Source organism: Homo sapiens, chromosome 9, assembly GCF_000001405.40.
Source record: "Homo sapiens chromosome 9, GRCh38.p14 Primary Assembly".
Classification (NCBI taxonomy): Eukaryota; Metazoa; Chordata; class Mammalia; order Primates; family Hominidae; genus Homo; species Homo sapiens.
Genome location: NC_000009.12, coordinates 26,345,819 through 26,369,028, shown reverse-complemented (window position 1 = coordinate 26,369,028; position 23,210 = coordinate 26,345,819). Strand labels below are relative to the sequence as shown.

The 23,210-nt window shown below is 35.7% G+C and overlaps 1 long non-coding RNA gene across 3 annotated transcripts in view; it reads left to right on the top strand.

Moving 5' to 3' along the window:
- The window catches only part of LOC105375999 (uncharacterized), a 155,489-nt gene extending 132,630 nt beyond the window's left edge, over positions 1-22,859 (top strand). For all 3 annotated transcript variants that reach the window (XR_001746566.2, XR_001746565.1, XR_001746567.1), the window contains exon 4: positions 22,741-22,859. This is a non-coding gene — a long non-coding RNA (uncharacterized LOC105375999). The remainder of the gene's footprint in view (positions 1-22,740) is intronic.
- Positions 22,860-23,210: the final 351 nt, after the last annotated feature.

Sequence of the window (23,210 nt, the reverse complement as noted above, 5' to 3'; positions counted from 1 at the left end):
GGTTATTGATTTCATTGATTAATCTTGTGACTATCTGGTATACTGAATATTTGAGGGAAGAGGTACAAACACATTTAGAAGCAGGAAGCCTAAAGAGTTTGAAGATATATTAGGGAATGTCTTTTTTCCTCTGTTCTATTGCTGTGGTATTTCTTTACAGATATGAGTTGTTATTTACTTATTCAATAAATATTCACTGAGCACCTACTATGTACCAGGCACCGTTTTAGATGCTGGAAACAGAGTGTAAATGGCTGCCCTGATGGCAGTTGTAGTCTGGGACTACTCACTTTTGTGATCCATCTTGTTTAATGTCATTAATTGATCCTCAATCCTTTAAAAAATAAATTTCAATCTTAACACAAACTGGGGAAAATATTTTGTACTGAGTAAAGAAATGTCCTGTTTGGGAAATACAATGACAGGAGACAAATTTGCCTGCTAGGAATCTGAGAGGATAGAATTCTATAAGCCCTGAATTGTATTTTGTGCTTTTAGGTGGAAAGCGCCAACACGTTCAAAGCCAAATCCATCCAAAGTCACCCATTTTTATATAAAGCCATCTAGCACAGACACAACCATCATATGTTACAATTTCCCTGCCAAAAAATTAATTGGCTCAGGCTAACTTTGAATTCATCCAAGATTTGCACAAAACTTGCTGAAAGGTTTGTCTACCTCAAGAAAACTTTTCATGAACCCAGTTCCACGTTTCAAATTTTTATAAAAACCTGAAACCAAGGAAGATTTTCTTGGTTTTCTGTTTGGTGCAGAGGTACTGCAAGCTCTAATTATGGGGCCTCAAGGGAATATGAAGAAAGAGAGACACAAAAAGAAAAATCTCTGAGACAGGTAATTAAGGAGGAAAAACACTTCAGGGAAACAGATAGGAATCAGAATCTTAATTTGAAATTATAAAATTATTAATAATATATTTACAGGGAAAATGTTCATGTGGTATAATGCCACTTAATCAGTATGCATTTCTAGGTGCATTTTATTGCTGAAAGTAATTTTCAGAATGAATGCCAAACCTATACAGAGGGTGATCCATAAATAGAAAATAGAGATCACAGCATTCTCTCTACTGCCCTCAACTCTGCAAATTTCATATTTTTTCCCTCTTGTTTACTGACATTCAAAGATGAGTTAGCATAAAATAAAAAATAATTGAATTGGAAATGGCATTTGAGTCATATAGAGGGCATATCATAATGTGGAAATTTAAATGATCAAGTTAATTTGCGTTTGGGAAACTTAATCAACAGAATTGGTCTCAATATTTGATTTTAGCCTTTTTATTCAAAATGATACCAGGTAATCAAATTGTGTTATTACATTTTTCCCACTTACCCTTAGTTTTAGGTCAAAGTATATCAAGAGAGTTAACTCAGGTTGCTTTTGTTCTTGACTCTGGCTTCATAAGATCTTTTAAATGTAAAGACATTTGAACTGTTTTTATTTTAAAGAAAGGCTTATTTATTTTTAAGAGAAGCTTATTTCCTCTAAGTGTTCTTTTGAAACTGAAGCTCCTTTGGGTTTCTCATTGAAATGGAAACATCTGTGAATATGCTTTTGTTTCACTACTGAAGTAGGTTTTGAGCACCTACTATATGCTCACTCCTAGGTGATATATAAACTCAAGAATTTTCTCACTTAACACAACATGAGAACAATGATAAAGCATAAAAGTACATATTAAATTATGTTGAACATACACATGGTTTAAACAAAAATTGGAGAAAGAATGGGTAGTATAACTGAAGATGGTTGCAGTTTATCTGGATGGCTAAGGATATATATGGCTTGGAAGGGAGTAAGACACTAAGCCAAGAAAATGGTATGGTTAAAGGGAAGAATTAAGGAAGACGAAGTATTAAGGAGGAACCAAAGAATTAAGAAGGATGATATGGACTGACATGAACATACTTACTAAAGTCATTTTTGTGTTTAAGAAGTGTCTGAATTTCAATAGAATACACTGGGTGTGTTTGGTAAGATGGGGGAGCCATTTTGTGTTTGACAGCAAAGCATAAAAAATTAGTCTTTGGTTGATTTGTCTGTGTTTTTCTAACCTTTCAATATTCGTTTGTGCTTTTTGATGATATATGCCAATGAGAGACAGATAGAAGCAGTTTAATGTAAAGAACATTTCATGAAGGAGAAATCTAGTAGGCAGTAAAGAACTGTATCTCTGAAGGCACATGTCTGCTTCTATGCTGTTTCTAACAATTAGTGGCTATGTAGCCTTAGCCAATTTGCTTTATTGTTCATATAAAAAATGAGCAAAATGGACAAACCTCATAGTTTTCTTAATGAAGAATAAAGTTGTTAATGGATGCAGAGCCTTACATCTTACATATAGAATATACCCATATCTTAGCTATTATATTGTGATTAATATATCATCTGCTTGAATCAAATAACTTGGTTTAGTTGTTACAGGTACCTGCCCTTGAGCAAGTCACTTAACCTCTCAACTTCACTTATCTCAAAAGGAAAATAGGAAAGGTTGTAAAAGTACCTACCTCAAGGTAGAATTAAAGAATTAATGTATATGATAGCACATTGTACATTATAAAGCACTATGCCAATATATATTTTTGACTGTAACTGATTTATGACCTTGGCGTCCATAGCTTTCTCAAATGGATGAAATTATTGAGGATAAATACAACAAGAATGAATCTCAAAATATCCCAAAGTTTAATCGAATTGTAATAAAATTACAACGTTAGTGATCCAAAAGGGATGAGCCAATGCCAGTATTATCTGTTTACAAATGTTTGTCTCCCATTTGACCATAAAACTCTTGAGGGCAGAATCCATTTTTCAATTTTGTTTTCTAAATGCCTGTCCAAGGCCTGGCTTGTGAACTGGCATGCATTAATTAACTTATAGGTACAAAAAGGAAGGATAGTTGCAATCAAGACTGTGACCCAAGTTAGGAATGTAGGGTCACTGTTACCAGGAGGTATCTTCCTGTGTCAAAGCAGAGTCTTAATTCTAAGGGTGACCATGCCATAAATTTTCTATAATAACTCAGAAGACAGAAATTATAAATGATAGAAGAAGAGAATCACTTCTTAGGTTTAGTCCAAATTACTTCGATCTTCTTATATTACCATATGAGTGATTTTTTTTTAAAAAAAAATAGCATGTTTATTTCAAATAAAAGAGATTGTCATGAGATTTCAAAAAGACAGCAAAGAGCACAGATACTATGGCTGTATGAGAATGATGCATTTTAGATCTGCAAATTTACTAAGGAGATATAAGCAACACTTTCATATGCATATCATTTTGGGAGGTTAAAATTTCAATTAGAATTAAGGTTCTAAATTTGGCTCATTCAAGATGGCACCCTGAAGTAAAACTTTTACTATTATCAAAATGCCCACAAGAAAGCCTCAGGGGCTTGAAAAGAATGTCTAATATTTATATTTTCTGGTATTCAGTATGGCATTTTTTTCTTTTTTTTAACCTGAATATACCTTTCTGTCCTAAATGTCATTAATGAAAACAATTGGATATTAACATAGTCTTTAATAATAATCTGTTGATTAAGGGCATGAGCATTTCAGAGAGTAAATAGAGAAACAGTGCAGTCTCAATTTAAGTTTAATATAAATTAAAGAATAAGCCCATTGGAAGTAGAATTTCTTCTCTAAACTAAATTGGCCTTCTAAGGGTGGTGGTTGTTCTCTCTCTTCACGCATGTACGACCTTAGTGTTATGAGATGAAGGGTGTGAAAGTTTCTGGGTTGTGCCTCTTTTCACAATGCTGTGTGTTCCCTTCTTTGCCGGCTCATCTCTACTTGTCCTTTAAATGGTTGCTTCAGGCGTCATCTCCCACAGGACTTTCTTGATTTTACTTGCTTGTTTATGATTTCTCTCTAAGCTCCTGAAGAACTCTTAGTCAGTTAAGTCTCCTGCAACAAAAGTACCATACGACAGATGGTTTGAACAACATAATTTTATTTCTTACCCTTCTGGAGTTTGGAAAGTCAGAGATCAGAGTCCATGGTTAGGTTCTGATGGGAGCCTTCCTCCTGGTTTGCAGTTAGCCATCTTCCCCTTATGTCCTCATGTAGGGGATAGAGAGAGATCGAGAGCGGAAGCAAGCATATTAGTGTTCTTATAAGGCCACAAGTCCCATCATCAACCTCACTTCACTCCGTTATGCCCTAATTAACTCCTAAAGGCTCACCTCCATCCTCATGCCCTAAGATGCCCTCACCTCCATCCTCATACCCTAACTACCTCCTAAAGGCTGCATTTCCACATACTATCACACTGGGGATTAGGCTTTCAATATATGAATTTGTGGGGGAGACACATACAGTCCATAGCATACCTTGTCATCTCTATTGTTGTACTGACCTTATTGACTTGAATTTGTCCATTTTTGCATATCTCATATACTAGATCCTCAGGTCTTCAAGTACAAAGGTTATGTCTTATTCATCTTTGTAGCACAATGTTTAGTACGAAATAGGCGTTCCTTAAATGTTGAAATTGGTAGAATGGTTACATTGGTACTAATTGTGATGTAGCAATGGTCAAAACCAAGTTGTACTCTTTTTAGACTTCTTTTACTTTAACAAATTACTTATTACTTAGTAGACTTTTCAGAACATAATACAATTTGTTTATCCTCATTCCCTAGTGTGAAATTCAGAGCTTGTAAAATTTAAGCATGTCTTTACAATTCGAACTTATTTGCATAACTTTGTGTAATGAATGACAAATGGCCTCAGATGATAAAAGTGAAAAAAATTTATTCATTTGCTTTTTACCCAATCTAGGCATTAAATAGAACCTTTTAAAAGTAAAGACATATATAAATCATGCCTACACTACTTGAATTATGTGAGTATATGTGTATAATGTATGTAAATAAGTATTTGCAAATGCATATATATGCAATTTTAATATAGTGGGTTAAGAAAGTCATTAATTTAGCAAAGAGTAGTATAGTACAGCCAATTTTTTTCTTTTTAATGCACAGGGCTTACAACCAAACAGATATGGGCTTAAATTTTGAGTCTATAACTTATCATCCGTGTGATTTTGGACAAGTTATTTCACTTGTCTCATCCTCAATATCCCTCACATGTAGTGTGAAGACAATAATATGTAGCTTGCAAAATTTTTTTATGATTGATGAGGTATTATATTTAAAGTGCTTAAGATAATTCCTGCCATCTATTAATACCAAATGGCCAATAACTGGTGGTCTTGTTTTTATGGTTATTGTTGTTAAATCAAGTTTAACCTAAAGCTGCCTCCTTACATATTTTAAGTTCAGCGTAAATGATTCTTTGTACATAATGAACTGTAACCTAACTGGATGGCTAAATAGACTAACCTACTCTTGTGCCAGTCACTGAGTTTTGGCCAATCGAAAGCTGCCAGTTATTCAAACCACGTTCAAATAAGGCAAATGCCCAGCTGTGACCAATCTGGCTATTTCTGTACCTCACTTCCCTTTTCTATACATCACATTCCTTTTTCTGTCCATAAATCTTCCACTTTGTGGCTATGCTTGAATCTCTCTAGATCTGTTTCAGGAGGCTGTCTGATTCAGGAATTGTTCTTTGCTCAGTTAAACTTTTTAAATTTAATGTGTCTAAGGGTTTTTTTTTTTTTTAACATTGTCATAAGCAGAAGAGCAAGCAATTTCATAATTTTATTTTTCTTCACTGGCTTTAGTTTCTTCATCTGTCAGATAGTAATCATAACTCTACCTCATTGGTGGTTAGGAAGGTCAAGTAGGATAATGTCTCTGAAAACACTTTGTAAAATGTAAAGTGTTATTACACAAAATAAACTAACACTTGAATTTTGCTTTTATTTTAAAGAGGTGGAATGCTGGCTAGAGACAAAGTAATGTTTAAAAATGCTACTGAATTGTAGTTCTATAAGTTACAAAACAACCACGCTAAATTTCCTGCCTCACTTCATTTTCAATTTCTAGTATTTGGTAACCGGGACTCCTTTGGTTTCCTTCATTGCTCAGTGTGTGGAAGACCTAATCAGTATTGAAACAGGCTCCACCAATTAATTGGAAGAAGCACTTGTCTCTCTTTCTGATTGTGTAGAAGACATTAGGCTTTGTTTTATCAGTTGAAACAGGTTTGCTACGTGACTGCATCTTCAAAAGTGCCAGTAAGTGATTTCGACTTAAAAAAATTATGCCCAAGTGAAGGTTTATTTCTTTCTGTTAAACATTCTTTCCAAATATGCATGTGTCATTTTCTGTCTTATCTCTAATCTTTCAGTCAAACTTGGTTTGGTCCTTTGAACTCTTAGTGAATTCATTTTTCTTTCTGGTATTGATATTTATATAATTATACTAAGCCTGAGAATTTCAACTTGAACTTCTTCCTTGAAAAACTACAGCCCTAGTTATTTTCAAGAGTTGTTTTTTCCTCCCAGAGTTTAATAGCACAATTTAGCGTCCTTTACAGGTTTGTTGAAAATATCATGTAGCAAAAAGCCAACAGATGTTATATGTATACTTGTTTCTGAACAAGAAGATTCTCAGAAACTGGAAAGTAGCTTAAGAATTATTATTTACTATTTCTCGGCCGGGCGCGGTGGCTCACGCCTGTAATCCCAGCACTTTGGGAGGCAGAGGCGGGCGGATCATGAGGTCAGGAGATCGAGACCATCCTGGCTAACGCGGTGAAACCCCGCCTCTACTAAAAATACAAAAAATTAGCCGGGCGTGGTGGCGGGCGCCTGTGGTCCCGGCTACTCGGGAGGCTGAGGCAGGAGAATGGCGTGAACCCGGGAGGCGGAGCTTGCAGTGAGCCGAGGTCGCGCCACTGCACTCCAGCCTGGGCGACAGAGCGAGACTCCGTCTCAAAAAAAAAAAAAAAAAAAAAAAAAAAAAGAATTATTATTTACTATTTCTTAGTAATTCCCTTCCAGACATCTCAGGATATTGTTACATAATTTTTATCATCCAGTTTTCAATAGCATCTACTTCCCATATATTTGTACATGAGGCATAAAATCAACAAAATCTTGACCTTACTTCCTTAACCATTAGTAAATACTCCTCTTTGAATTGCCAGACTGGGTTCTTATGGCCTCACTCTTCAATGGAGCAGGTCCTCCATTGGTCAAATTTGCATGCCTTTCCAAAGTACCAAGTCCAAAGATGTAGACTGTGGAGACCCCTGAATGTGAATTCCCAGTTATTTAGAAAAAATTTCAAGAAAGATCTTTTACTGATATTACAGGACAGCTGAGTCCCCAGACTGGGGCTTCATACAGGAAAGTACTCAACGATAATCTAGTGTTGTTAGCAATCTTTAACTGAACTGTACTGCTTCTTCCAAAGCAGGGCTAACTCATAGGCAGTGCGCCTAGAGTCAATAAGGTATGAGCTTTTGGCAACTCTGTTTATACTCAGGCAAACTCACTTTCAATTTTATGCAAATTAAGGGATAAGTCAATGCAAATTGACAGGGGCAGGGTATTTAGAAATTTCTAGAAAAGAGGCAGTAATTTTTAGATCATTGCCATGGAAAGAGGTGGTAACTTCTGGATCATCGCCAAGGCTTTTGTAAATTGTCATGGCATTGGTAGGAGTATCTTATGCTAATGAGCAATGAGGGCAGCTAGGGATAGCTTTCTTTGCCATCTACTGGTTCCTTCCCATTTTTTCACTTCATCCCTTCTGGACTGGATCTTGTTTTGGTCAGCAGTATTGTGACCGGAAAACAAGTCCTGTTGGTCTCCTACCACATTATTGCACTACTGGGGAGGCCATAGTGAAGAGCATGAACTTTCTAGTTGGATAAAATAGGTTTAGAAAGTGGAAGACCTTGTGCCAAACTGAGTTTCTGTTTCACTATCTGTAAAATAAGCACAGTAGTGCCTATTTTGTAAAGTCAGTTCTTTATGAAATTAAATACAACAATTAATGTAGACTCTTATTATTACTATGATTATTGTTTGTCCTTAAAAAAAAAACACCACAGTAAAGTGGGACTTCCGTGTATTCTTGAGTAGTTCTAAAATCCAGCATTCCCCAAGTGGCATTTGCATCAGTTAGAGTTGCTTTTGGCTTCAAGTAATGGGAATCCCAACTGTTCTGGACTATATAAACCAGGGTTTGTTTTCTACCCTACAAAATAGTCTGGAGGTAGACAGTTGTTGGTATTGGTTTAGAAGCTTAATGAGTCAGAGTTCATATCTCTCAAAAATCTCTTGTACATTTCCTCATGTTGTAAGAAGGTTGTTGTCGTCCCAGATATCACAAAGATGCAAAAATCCTTAACATAGTATCACCAAGGTAAATTCAGTAATCTATAAAAACAATGAAACATCATGACTAAGTAATATTTTTCATCAATATTTTTATATGATGTAATGTACAATGATAAATTTAAGTGACCAGATTATAAACATTAAAAAATAGAATCTTAATACGTGTAGAAAAGCATTTGACAAAAATTAAACACTTAGCAAACCAGGATATAAAAGAAAACCTCCTCAATCAATCAAATCTCCACGCAAAATCTCCAGATACATCATACCTAATGATGAAACATTAAATACTAATCCTCTAACAATGAGAATAAGTCAAGGATGTTTATTCTTACGATTTTATTAAAATTGCAGTGGAAGTCTTAGGCAGTAAAATAATGGAATAAAAAAGAAATAAAAGGCATATAGATAGGAAAGGAAGAAATAAACAGTTCCTATTCACAGATGATATAATTCTTTATGTAGAAAGTCTTAAGAAATCAACTATAAAGCTGCTAGAACTAACATGTAAATTTACCAAGATCCCAAGATACAAAGACACATAAAAATCAATTGCATTTCCGTATACTAGCAATGAACAATTGGAAAAACAACATCATTTATGATAACATCAAGACATGAAATACTCAGAGAAAAATTTAACAAAATATGTATTTATCCAAGAGAAATGAAAATGTATATTCACAGAAACATTAGCACATGAACGTTCATCACTGCTTTATTCACAATACTCACAAACTAGAAACAATCCAAATGTTTGTCAGCTGGTGAATAGGTAAACAAATTGTGATATATTCAAACAATGTACTGATATGTGGCAATGAACAGGGATGAACTTCTAGTATACTCAACAACGTGGATAAACTTCACAGATATTATTTATTTATTTTTTTTGAGACAGAGTTTCTTTCTTGTTGCCTAGGCTGGAGTGCAATTGTGTGGTCTCAGCTCACTGCAACCTCTGCCTCCTGGGTTCAAGCAATTCTGCCTCAGCCTCCCAAGTAGCCAGGATTACAGGCACCTGCCACCACGCCTGGCTAATTTTTTTTTTTTTTTGTATTTTTAGTAGACACGGAGCTTCACCATATTGGCCAGGCTGGCCTCGAACTCCTGACCTCAGGTGATCCACCCACGTTGGCCTTCCAAAGTGCTGGGATTACAGAAGTGAGCCATCATGCCAGGTCCACAGACATTATACTAAGTAACAGAAATCATACACAACAGAGTACATACTATGTACATATAGATTTACACAGAGCAGATCAGTCATTGTTTGGGATGAGAAATATTGGGTGTTTTGACTATGAGTGGTATAATAGACCTTTTTGGGATGATGGAAATGTTCTATATTTTGATGATAGTTACAGTTGTAAAAATTCACTGAAGGGTTGACTTTTTCTGTGTGTAAATTTTACCTCAATAAGATTGGTGCATAAGAAAGAAAGGTTAACCTTTCTAGTCACAGTTACTCATAGAAAATGTTGTAGATAGAAAGTGAAGGGGCGATGGTCCATCACTGACTCTAAATGATACAACTGTCCTCAGAAAGTAGGGGGTTAATACTGGTGCCTACATGTGAATCAGAACCTGTTGAATCTCTTAAGAGAACAAACCACTGAAAGGCAAAATTCTGAAGTGAATGAAAATATGTCCAATTTACAATCAAATAAAAATGCTGTAGGCATAAAGCCAAAGAATATTCTTAGATTGGACTTTGTTTAGCTTTCTAAATTTAACCAGCTGGAATTCTTTAAGTACATCCTCATTCAACATTTTGAAGTGAAGTATGTGCTTTTTATATTAAAAATTGTACTTTCTCTGAAATATATAGGAAAGTACATTTTTCTTTGTAATAAAAAATATGATGGCTTATTATAGGTTTGATATATAGTGAGCACAGATTGCAAACTCCACCCACCCCCCAACATTGGGACAAATTTGTGGCAAGGCTGGTGAAAAGACAGAAAATATAAATTAAGCTGTACTTATAGAGGTGACATTGCTAAACTCTGCCTTGTGGATAGAGATATATGTAGTTCAAGTTCACAGAACAACAACAAAGTGCTTTATAATATATGATAAAATATTTTAATTGTTGATAGTCAAGAAATATGGAACGTTTTCCAACAGGACAACACTGTATACTATGTCTTATATTTTAATAAGAGTATAAGGCTCTCATAATGTTTTTTCTATCTTTCAAAAATCTTTTTTCCCAAATAAATACAATTATATTTAAAACATGAACTTATTTACTGGCTCAACACTCATTCTTTTGTGTTCCTTTGTTCATAGATTATCCATGCCAATGAAAATTCTTTCCATACTAGCACTTGACAAAACAATTAAAGCAGAATATTGAACTAGTTTTAACAAATTTGGGGAAGCAATTTGTTATATTTATCAAGAGATGTTGTTCCCCCTTAGGGAATGGAAAACCTAGTTCAAGATACTAATTTCTTCCTAAAGAGATTTGGAGGGATTCTTTTTCCCATAGAGCCAATAATCCAATTAATTCATCCACAGAAGGAGATTTCTCATGTTGAGCCAAACTTGAAGCACCGAGAATGATGTCATGAATTTTAAAAAGGAAACCACTCTGCCAGATACTTGAGGCTCCAGTACACAAACTCAGTGCTTCAGAATTAGGTTCATTGACTACATGGTTTGTCAAATAGCCTTTCTGCTAAATAAACATCTTTCATTGCTAAAACCTCATTGTTTTTCTTTTCTTAAAAATTGCTGAGACAGCATAGATAAAATTCTTATTCGTTAAAGCATCTGATCTTTTTGAAAAGGTTCCTAAATATTCTCTGCTTCAAAGGAGTGCCAAGAAATAAAAGACAAGATGAAAGCTAGGTAATACAGAAGATTTATCTGATTCATATGCTTTTGAACGCTTTCACTAACATGGATCTGATATTTGGTTGTGTAGTTCCTATCAATTCAGCTAGACTAGGTTTTGGTCTGGATATGGCTCTGAAGTGTAGGAGCCTCTGCATCGAGAACTATAAAGCACTAGAGCAACACATCTCACTGCCTGGAATGAGAACACAGGCATCTAAATCAGAGGGATAGCAATTATTAAAAAATGAGGACAACGGTATTTCCACTTGACATATTGAATATGTCTCCCTCCTTGTTTCCTAGTTAGAAGTTGAAGTATGCAGCTGTCTTACTCAAAATTTGGCACTTGGGAACGTTAAGTGACATAGTGACTAGGGAAAAAGTTATATACATGTCTAGAACTATTAAGAAGGAAGAAGTAGAATACATTATTTCTAAGAGTAAACAATATTAACAAGGAGTTTGTTAGGCATGCTTTCAAGAGTCATGTTATAAGACAAAAGCATAATCTATGCTTGTTGCACTATGCTTATTCACTAGTCCTCAGGAAAGTCAATTTTTCTGTACTAGTATGTACTGAAGTAAGGAATACATATTGTACATGATTTTTAAAACATATTTCATGGAAAATTGTAAAGCAACCAACTAACAAAGTTTCTAGCCTAAAAGGAAGTTTGTTTCGCTGTTTTGTAGCTTGCCTAAATATTACCATGTTTATGGGTGTTCTGAAGTTGCTGATTAATATACACTAGGGATGCCAAAAGGCATCTTTTCAGTGATATATTTGAACTGTAAGGTCACATGCTGAATTTTTAAGAAATTGTATAGGAGAAAGGAACTGTCATTAGGCTTTGAGTATGTGTAGTTATTGTTCTGGGTTTGCTACAAATTGGTATCATTTAACAGAATAAAAAGACAATGTACATATATTAATGAGAATGTTGCATTTTGGATATATAAAGTGATGTATAGTCTTTCAATAAGACAGATGGTAACTGTAAGAAGTCATTTTGAGCCAACTGCATTCTTTAAAGCATTTCATTTCTGTCTGGTGATAATTAAATGTGGAGCCATTTGATTTGGAAAGCAAGTATAAGGCTACAATAGCAATAACAACCCTTTTACAGGTGTTGAAATTATTCAAACCTTTGGACATTCAATGTCATGGGCAAATGGTTGCCAAAAATGCCAAGAACGTTGATAGAATTCTAAGAACTCATCAACCAGAACTGTATACATAGACTACAAAATCAAATGAGCGAAATAATTGAGCAATATATTCCTGATTTTCACAGTCTCTGCATGTGGGGATGGGGGACATTATTTAATAGTGTTAAAGAGAACATCTTTGGCTCAAATGACTTCCACAGAGATTGGCAGAAAGACATTTTTAATATAGGCTTAATTAATAAAATCTCTCAACAGGAATCAGAGTGGTACTTCAAAGGACACTCAGAACAGAAAAAAAAAATGAAAAGTTAGAGGAAAACACAAATAGTGAGATACCTTGAGTAATAGAATCTGAAATTTTACAAATTTTATTAGAAGCATCAGTAACTTTCCTAAATTATTTAAAATGAAGAATAAATGTTATGTTACAAAAAGTATTGAAGGCTTGCTACCTGATGTCTAAATGTGAATTAACTTCATGTTAATTCACAGAAAATCAGAATATTCTGCAGTTCATATTAATGGAGTTTACATAAGAAATTATGTTCTCTCTTTCTGTTTTGTTGTAGTAACATATAACATATAACTCTTAAATTTCAGTGGCTTTAAATGGAAAATGTTTATTTTTTTGTTCACTGGTCTGCAGATTGCATACATCTCTATGTGACCCTGCTTGTCTTTATTTTTTGTGTCTTTTCAATCTTGAACCCAGGATGACAGAGTAATCTCTATCTGAACTATACAGACTATGCTGTTCTCATTGCCTAGTGAAACAGGAAGGCAAGAGACCAAAAAACGATACAATTCCATTTAAAGCTTCTGTTTCAATGTGGCATACATCATGCCTGCCCACTTTCCACCCCAAAGAAATTGCCTAGATTAGCCTGAAAATGAGGTAAGGATGTATACTCTCTGCTTTCAAGCATAGCCACTAACATGGCAAACATGTCAAACCCCTTCATAGGGGATTAACTGGAGAGTTGGAGAATTATAATTTATGTCAGGAACACATACTATGTTAACTTTCATTAAAGCATACATGGCATTTTATTCAAAATAATTATTTTTATTTAAATGTGCATTTGTTTATCCAGCTTTATTGAGGTATAATTGACAAATGAAAATTTTATACATTTAAGGAGTACACCATGATTTGGTATAACTATACATTGTGAAATAATTAGCAAAATGAAGCTAATTAATTTATCCATCAATTAACATGGTTACCTTTTTTAATTGATGTGGATACTGAACATATAATTTCTTAGCAAATTTCAAGTAAGCAGTACTTTATTCTTAGCTATATTTACCATGCTGTATATTAGATTTCCAGGATTAATTCATCTTATAACTGAAATTTTTTACCCTGTGACCAACATCTTTCCATTTCTCCCACCCTCCAGTTCCTGATAACCAGCATTGTACTCTCTATTTCTGTGAGTTTGACTTTTTAATAGTTCACATATAAGTGATGTCATACAATATTTGTTTTCAATTCTGGCTTATATTGCTTAGTATAATGTCTTCCAGGTATCCATATTGTTGCAAATCTATGATTTTCTTCTTTTCAAGGCTGAAAAGTAGAATATTATTATATCATTACATATACATCACATATCATACATACACATATCACATTTTCTGTATTATTCATTCCGTGATGGACACACACAGGTTGTATCCATATTTTCGCTTTACAAATAATGCTGCAATAAACATGAGAGAGCAGACACCTCTTTGAGATACGGATTTCATTTCCTTTGGATATATACTCAGAAGTGGGGTTGCTGGATCACATTGTAGTTCTAGTTTTAATTTTTTTGGGAAACCATTTTCCATGACTCTACCAATTTGCATTCCCATCAATAATGCATAAGGGCTCCCCTTTCTCCACATCCTTGCCAACTTTTGGTATCTTTTGACTTTGATAGTAGCTTTTATAACATATATGAGGTAATATCTTATGGTTTTCATTTGCATTTCCCTGATGATTTGTGATGTTGAGCAGTTTTCTTATACCCATAGTCCATTTGTATGTATTCTTTGGAAAAATGTCTATTCAGGTCCTTTGCTCATTTTTAAAAAATTGAGTGGTTTTTTTTGTTTTGTTTTCTGCTATTGAGTTGTTTGAATTCCTTATATATTTTGGATTTAACCCCTTATCAGACATACGGTTTGCAAATATTTTTTCTTATTCCATAGTTTACCTTTCTATATTGATATTTCTCTCCTGTGCTGTGCAAAAACTTTTTAATTTGGTGTAGTTCTACTTGTTTATTTTTGCTTGTATTGCCCATGCTTTTGGTGTCATACCCAAAAAATTATTACCAAGAATATTGTCAAGAAACATTCCCCTATGTCTTCTTCTAGGAGTTTTGTGGCTTTAGGTTATATGTCTAAGATTTTAATCAATTTTAGTTTATTTTGTGTATGATGTAAAATAAGGGTCCCATTTCATTCTTTTGCATGTGCATATTCAGTTTTTCCAGTACCATTTTTGAAGAGACTATCCGTTTCCTATTGTGTCCTCTTGGTACTTACACTGAAGATTAATTGACTGTATATATATGGATTTATTTCTGGGATCTCTATTTTGTTCCTTTGGTCTACGTGTCTGTTATTAGGCCAGTATCATATATTGTAATCTATGTGTATATATGTAATATTTGTAATATATATCAGCTTTGTAATAGAATTTGAAATAAGAAAGTGTGATGCTTTCATCTTAATTATTCTTTCTCAAAATCATTTTAGCTTTTCATGGTCTTTTGGGGTTCAATACAAATTTTAGGATTTTTTACTATTTCTATGAAAAATACCTTTGAAATTTTAGTAGTGATTGCATTGAATCTGCAGATTGCTTTGGGTAGTATAAACATTTTAACATTAATTTTACCAATCGATGAATATAGGATATCTTTCCATTTATTTGTCTTCAATTTCTTTCACTAATGTTTTATAGTTTTCAGTGTATAGGTCATTCAACTTCTTGGTTACATTTATTTCTAAATTTTTTTTCTTTCTGATGCCAATGTAAATGGCATTGTTGTCTTAGTTTGTTTTTATGGATAGTTCATAGTTAGTGCATAGAAAACAATTGATTTGCATGTTAATTTTTCATCCTGCAACTTTACTGAATTTGTTTAATAATTCTGAGTTTTTGGTAGGCCACGTAGGGTTTTCAATATATAAGATCGTGTCATCCTTAGAGAAAATTTTACTGCTTCCCATCTGATTTTTAAAATTAATTTTTCCATAAGTTATTGGGGGTACAGGTGGTATTTGGTTACATGAGTAAGTTCTTCAGTGGTGATTTGTGAGATTTTGGTGCACCCATCACCTGAGCAGTAAACACTGCACCATATTTGTAGTCTTCTCTCTCTTACTCCACTCCTACTCTTCCCCCCAAGTCCTAAAAGTCCATTGCATCATTCTTATGCCTTTGCATCCTCATAACTTAGCTCCCACATATCAGCAAGAACATACGATGTTTGGTTTTCCATTCCTGAGTTACTTCACTTAGAACAATAGTCTCCAATGTCATCCAGGCCACTGCAAATGCTGTTAATTCATTCCTTCTTATGGCTGCATAATATTCCATCATGTATATATATATATATCTCTCACAGTTTCTTTATCCACTCGTTGATTGATGGGCATTTTGGTTGGTTCCACGATTTTGCATTTGTGAATTGCATTGCCATAAACATGCATGTGCAAGTATTTTTTTTTTGAATAATTACTTATTTTCCTCTGGGTAGATACCCAGTAGTGAGATTGCTGGATCAAATGGTAGCTCTACTTTGAGTTCTTTAAGGAATCTCCACACTGTTTTTCATAGTGGCTGTACTAGTTTACATTCCCACCAGCAGTGTAGAAGTGTTCCCTCTTCACCACATGGTGAACAAAAAAAAATCTACTGTGTTTTTGATTTTTTGATTATGGCCATTCTTGCAGGAGTGAGGTGGTATCACATTGTGATTTTGATTTGCATTTCCCTGATCATTAGTGATGTTGAGCATTTTTTCATATGTTTGTTGGCCGTTTGTATATCTTCTTTTGAGAATTGTCTATTCATGTTTTTAGCCCACTTTTTGATGGGATTGTTTGATTTTTTTTCTTACCGATTTGTTTGAGTTCATTATAGATTCTGGATATTAGTCCTTTGTCAGGTGTATAGATTGTGAAGATTTTGTCTCACTCTGTCTCACTCTGTGGGTTGTCTGTTTACTCTGCTGACTGTTCCTTTTGCCATGCAGAAGCTCTTTAGTTTAATTAGGTCCCAGCTATTTATTTTTGTTTTTATTGCATTTGCTTTTGGGTTCTTGGTCATGAAATCCTTGCCTAAGCCAATATCTAGGATTTTTCCAATGTTATCTTCTACATTTTTTATAGTTTCAGGTCTTAGGTTTAAGTCTTTAGTCTATCTTGAGTTGATTTTTGTATAAGGTGAGAGTTGAGGATCCAGTTTCATTCTCCTACATGTGGCTAGCCAAATATCCCAGCACCATTTGTTGGAAAGGGTGTCCTTTTCCCACTTTAAGTATTTGTTTGCTTTGTCAAAGATCAGTTGGCTCTAAGTATTTGGGTTTATTTCTGGGTTCTCTATTCTGTTCCGTTTGTCCATGTGCCTATTTTTGTACCAGTACCATGCTGTTTTGATGACTATGGCCTTGTAGTACGGTTTGAAATCAGGCAGTGTGATACTTGCAGATTTGTTCTTTTTGCTTAGTTTTGCTTTGGCTCTGTGGGCTCTTTTTTGGTTCCATATGAATTTTAGCATTTTTTTTTCTAATTCTGTGAAGAATGATGGTGGTACTTTGATGGGGATTGCCTTGAATTCGTAGATTGCTTTTGCCAGTGTGGTCATTTTCACAATATTGATTCCACACATCCATGAGCATGAGATGTGTTCCCATTTATTTGTGTCATCTGTGATTTCTTTCAGCAGTGTTTTGTAGTTTTCCTTATAGAGGTCTTTTGACTCCTTGGTTAGGTAGATTCCTATGTATTTCTTTTTTTTTACAGCTATTGTAAAAGGGGTTGGGTTGAGTTGAGCTTTTTATTTGATTCTCTGTTTGGTTGCTTTTGGTGTATAGAAGAGCTAATAATTTGTGTACATGAATCTTGTATCCGGAAACTTTGTTGAATTATTTTATCAGTTCTAGAAGCTTTCTGGAGGAGTCCTTAGGATTTTCAAGGTAAACGATCATATCTTCAGCAAACAGTGACACTTTGACTTCCTTTTTACTGATTTGGATGCCCTTTATTTCTCTTGTCTGATTGCTCTGGGTAGGACTTCCAGTACTATGTTGAAGAGGAATGTTGAGATTGGACATCCTTGTCTTGTTCCAGTTCTCAGAGGGAATGCTTTCAACTTTTCCCCATTTGTGTTGGCTGTGGGTTTCTCATAGATGGCTTTTATTATATTAAAGTATGTCCCTTGTATGCCAATTTTGCTGAGAGTTTTAATCATAAAGTGATGCTGGATTTTGTCCAATGCTTTTTCTACATCTATTGAGATGATCAGGTGATTTTTTCTTTAATTCTGTTTATGTGGTGTATCACATTTATTGACTTGTGTATGTTAAACTATCCCTGCATTCCTGGTATGAAATCCATTTGATCAGGGTGAACTGTCTTTTTGATATGTTGTTGGATTTGGTTAACTAGTGTTTTGTTAAGGATTTTAGCGTCTGTGTTCATCAAGGTTATCAGTCTGTAGTTTTCTTTTTTGGTTATGTCCTTTCCTGGTTTTGGTATTAGGGTGATGCTGGCTTCATAGAATGAATTAGGGAGGGTTCCTTCTTTCTCTATCTTGTGGGTAGTGTCAAAAGGATTGGTACCAATTCTTCTTTGAATGTCTGATAGAATGCTGCTGTGAATTTGCCTGGTCCTGGACTTTTTTTGTTGGTAATTTTTAAATTACCATTTCAATCTTGCTGCTTGTTATTGGTCTGTTCATGGTATCTAATTCTTCCTGATTTAAGCTAGGAGGGTTGTATTTTTCCAGGAATGTATCCATCTCTTCTAGGTTTTCTAGTTTATATTCATAAAGCTGTTCTTATTAGGCTTGAATGATCTTTTATATTTCATTGGTGTCAGTTGTAATATCTCCTGTTTCATTTCTTAGTGAGGTTATTTGGATTTTCTTTCTTCTTTTCTTGGCTAATCTTGCCAGTGGTCTATCAATTTTATTTATCGTTTCAAAGAACCAGCTTTTTGTTTCATTTATCTTTTGTATTTTTTTTTGTTTGAATTTCATATAGTTCTCTTCTGATCTTGGTTATTTCCTTTCTTCTGCTGGGTTTGGGTTTGTATTCTTCCTGTTTCTGTAGTTCCTTGAGGTGTGACTATAGAGTGTCAGTTAGTGCTCTTTCAGTCTTTTTGATGTAGGTGTTTAGGGCTATGAACTTTCCCCTTAGCACTGCCTCTGCTGTATCTCAGAGGTTTTGATAGGTTGTATCATTATTGTCATTCATTTGAAAGAATTTTTTGATTTCCATCTTGATTTCTTTTTTGACCCAATGATCATTCAGGAGCAGGTTAATTTCCCTGTATTTGCATGATTTTGAAGGTTCGTTTTGCAGTTGATTTAGTTTTATTCCACTGTGGTCTGAGAGAGTGCCTGATATAATTTCAATTTTCTTTAATTTATTCAGGCTCATTTTATGGCTTATCATCTGGTCTCTCTTAGAGAAAGTTCCATGCACTGTTGAATAGAATGTGTATTCTGTGGTTGTGGGATGAAATGTTCTGAATATATTTGTTAAGTCCATTTGTTCCAAGGTATAGTTTAAATCCATTGTGTCTTTGTTGACTTTCTGTCTTGATGACCTGTCTAGTTCTGTCAGTGGAATATTGAAGTCCCCCACTATTATTGTGTTGCTTTCTATTTCATTTCTTAGGTCTATTAGTAATTGTTTTATAAATTTGGTAGCTCCAGTGTTAGGTGCATATATATTTAGGATTGTGATATTTTCCTGTTTGACAAGGTCTTTTACCATTATATAATGTCCCTCTTTGTCTCTTTAACTGCTGTTGCTTTAAAGTTTGTTTTGTCTGATGTAAGAATCGCTACCCCTGCTCGCTTTTGGTTTCCATTTGCATGAAATGCCTTTTTCTACTTCTTTACTTTAAGTTTATGTGAGTCCTTATGTAACGCCAAAGGTTCTTGCCTTAGCCACGCCAAAGATTTGGTGTGGTGGCAGCCTGTGGTGAGAGAGAGACACGGATCGGACCAAGAGAAAAAAAAACTGTAGGCTTTATTGAGCAGAGTGACAGTACAAAGCTTCCACAGTGTGGAAGGTGTCCCGAGTGGGTAGCCAGTGTTAGATTTTTTGATCACCTTTTAAACTCTTTAAGGCGGGAAATACATGGGGCAGGAAGGTGGGAAGATGTTACCAGAATGAGAAACAAAGACAATTAACATGTCTTAGATCTTGAGGAAAACCGGAATTGTAACTTTTTATCCACTTTATAACCTTATGGTGGCATGGCAAAGGAGACAGGATCTCACAGGATTTTACAAATTGTGTTTACAAGGAATTGGAATTGGGAGCATAGATAAGGTCTGCTGGTCACAGAAAAATGGGCTTTTAACATTCCTTTTAGTTTCAGGGGAAGGGGAAGGGAGAGAGGGAGTGAGGACACAGGGAAGCTTACAGCAAAAGTTTCGCTGTTTATAGCTTTCTTGGGGAAGAAAACACATGCACAAATTCCGATATTAGGAATATTTTAAGCATATGTCTTTAATATTATTCATCCAGGACCAAAGTAAGTCCTGTTGCAGGAAATGAGTGAGTTTCACAGCTTTCTGAGCCCTCCTCGACCTGGGAAGCCCAGTTGAAATCTCCTCTCACTTATGTGTTAGGTGAGTCTCCTGAAGGCAGCAGATAGTCGGTTGTTGAGTTCTTATCCATTCTATGGTTCTGTATCTTTTAAGTGGAGCATTTAGGCTATTTACATTCAATGTTAGTATTGAAATGTGACGTACCCTTGCATTCATCACGGTATTTGTTGCCTGGGTACTTTTGTTTTTTCGTTTTTTGTTTTTTGCTTTTTAACTTCTATTTTTGTTTTACGGGTCCTGCATGATTTATGCTTTAAAGAGGTTCTGTTTTGATGTGTTTCCAGGATTTGTTTCAAGATTTAGAGCTCCTTTCAGCAGTTCTTGTAGGGGTGGCTTGGTAATGGAGAATTCTCTCAGCATTTGTTTGTCTGAAGAAGACTCTATCTTTCCTTCATATATGATGTTTAGTTTCACTAGATACAAAATTCTTGGCTGATAATTGTTTCGTTTGAGGAGGCTGAAGATAGGGCCCAAATCCCTTCTAGCTTGTAGGGTTTCTGCTGAGAAATCTACTGTTAATCTGATAGGTTTTCCTTTATAGGTTACCTGGTGCTTCTGTCTCACAGCTCTTAAGATTCTTTCTTTTGTCTTAACTTTGGATAACCTGATGACAATGTGCTTAGGCGAAGATCTTTTTTGTGATGAATTTCCTGGGTGTTCTTTGAGCTTCTTGTATTTGGATGTCTAGGTCTCTAGCAAGGTCAGGGAAGTTTTCCTCAATTATTCCCCCAAATTTGTTTTTCCAAGCTTTTAGAATTCTTCTTCCTCAGAACACAGGTTATTCTTACGTTTGGTTGTTTAACATAATCTCAGACTTCTTGGAGGCTTTGTTCATATTTTCTTATTCTTTTTTCTTTGTCTTTGTTGGATTGGGTTAATTTGAAGACCTTGTCTTTGAGCTCTGAATTTCTTTCTTCTACCTGTTCAATTTTATTGCTGAGACTTTCCAGAGCATTTCGCATTTCTAAAAGTGTGTCCAAAGGTTCCTGACTTTTTTATTGTTTTTTCTTTAAGCTATCTGTTTCCTTGAATATTTCTCCCTTTACTTCTTATATCATATTTTGGATTTCCTTGAACTGGGCTTCACCTTTCTCTGATCCCTCCCCGATTAGCTTAATAACTAACTTCCTTAATTCTTTTTCAGGTAAATCAGGGATTTCTTCTTGGTTTGGATCCATTGCTGGTGAACTAATGTAATTTTTTGGGGTATCGAAGAGCCTTGTTTGGTCATATTACCAGGGTTGGTTTTCTGGTTTCTTTTCATTTGGGTAGTCTCTGTCAGAGGGAAGGTCTAGGACTGAATGCTGTTGCCCATATTCTTTTGTCCCATGGGGTGTTCCCTGGATGTAGTACTCTTCCCCTTTTCCTATGGATGTGGCTTCCTGTGAGCTGAACTGCAGTGATTGTTGTCGCTCTGCTGCGTATAGCTACCCAGCGAGTCTACCCAACTTTGGGCTAGTACTGGGGGTTGTCTGCACAGAGTCCTATGATGTGAGCCATCTATGAGTCTCTCAGCTATGGATACCAGTGTCTGTTCTGGTGGCAGGCAGGGTGCAATGGACCCGTGCGGGTCGTTAGCTTTGGTGGTTTAATGCTCTACTTTTGTGCTGGTTGGCCTCCTGCCAGGAAGTGGCACTTTCCAGAGAGCATCAGCTATGGTAGTGTGGAGAGGGACCGGTGGAAGGTGGGGTCCTAGAACACCCAAGATTATATGTCCTTTGTCTTCCACTACCAGGGTGGGTAGGGAAGGGCGAGGTGTGTCTATTATATGACATATATATTATATGTCCTTTGTCTTCCACTACCATCAGGTGAGGGCAGGGCTAGGGTGTGTCTGAGCTCAGACTCTCCTTGGGCAGGTCTTGCTGTGGCTGCTGTGGGAGATGGCAGTGAGATTCCCAGGTCTCACAGTGGATGGCAGGCAGGACTAGATCACAGCTCCGGACAGAGCAGTGGGCAGGGGCTCACATTATGAATTTTAGCTCCAGATTGACTGCAAGAACAAACCAGCAATCCCAAGAGGACCCACAGACCCTCTGAAGGCAGCAGACTGTCCCTGCAGGACCTGGGAGACCCCCCCCCCCCGCCGCCAAAAAAACTGTGAGGGCCCTAACTGCAGAAATGGGAAAGGGAGACCCTCCTCTTCTGAACACATACCCCCACTGGAGAAGCTCTGTTTGGAGAAGGTCTGTTTGGGGGAGATGTTTCTGACTTTACCTGGAGCTGAGTCAATTTGGACAGCCCAGTGAAATACAGGGGTAGAGAAAGCAGTAGAAAGGCCCTGGGAGCTTGCTGGGTCCCCTAGCAGGCCTTTCCTGCCTGACACCACAAAGATCCAATGGGAGAGGAGCAGGGGTAAAACTACACAGGGAGAAGAAAATCTCTAGGTGAGCTCTGTAACAATTTGAATGGGTTGAGAAACCTCCTGGCCAGAACGTGGGGGAGGGCACAAATCCAGTGTGCAGACTCCACAGGTGGGGGAAGAACCAAGCCCTTTTTTTTTCTGCAGGTGGGAGGCAGGTAGCCTGGGGCAGGTTTTCAAGCCCATCTTATGTGAATGCTCTTCATTTCTTTTTCTTGTATAGTTGCTCAGGCCAGGACCTCCAGTACCATACTGAATTGAAATGGTAAGTGAACATCTTTGTCTTATTCCTGGTCTTAGAGTAAAAGCTTTAAACTTTTACCATTGAGTATGATATTAGTTGTGGACATTAAGTTGAGGCACATTCCATCTCTACCTAATTTGTTGAGAGTTTTTATCATAAAAGGATGTTGAATTTTGTCAAATGCCTTTTCTCTATACATTGAGATAATTTAAAAATTTTTATTCTTCATTTTTTTTGGTGTTATCACATTTATCAGTTTACATATTTTGAGCCATTGTTGCATCTCAGGGAAAAATTATACTTGATCATGATGTATAATATAATCCTTTTAATGTACTGTTGAATTTAGTTGGCTAGTATTTTGTTGTGGTTTTGTGCATCAATATTCATCAGACATATTGGTCTGTAATTTTTTTCCTGGAGTGTCCTTGTCTGGAATTGGTATCAGA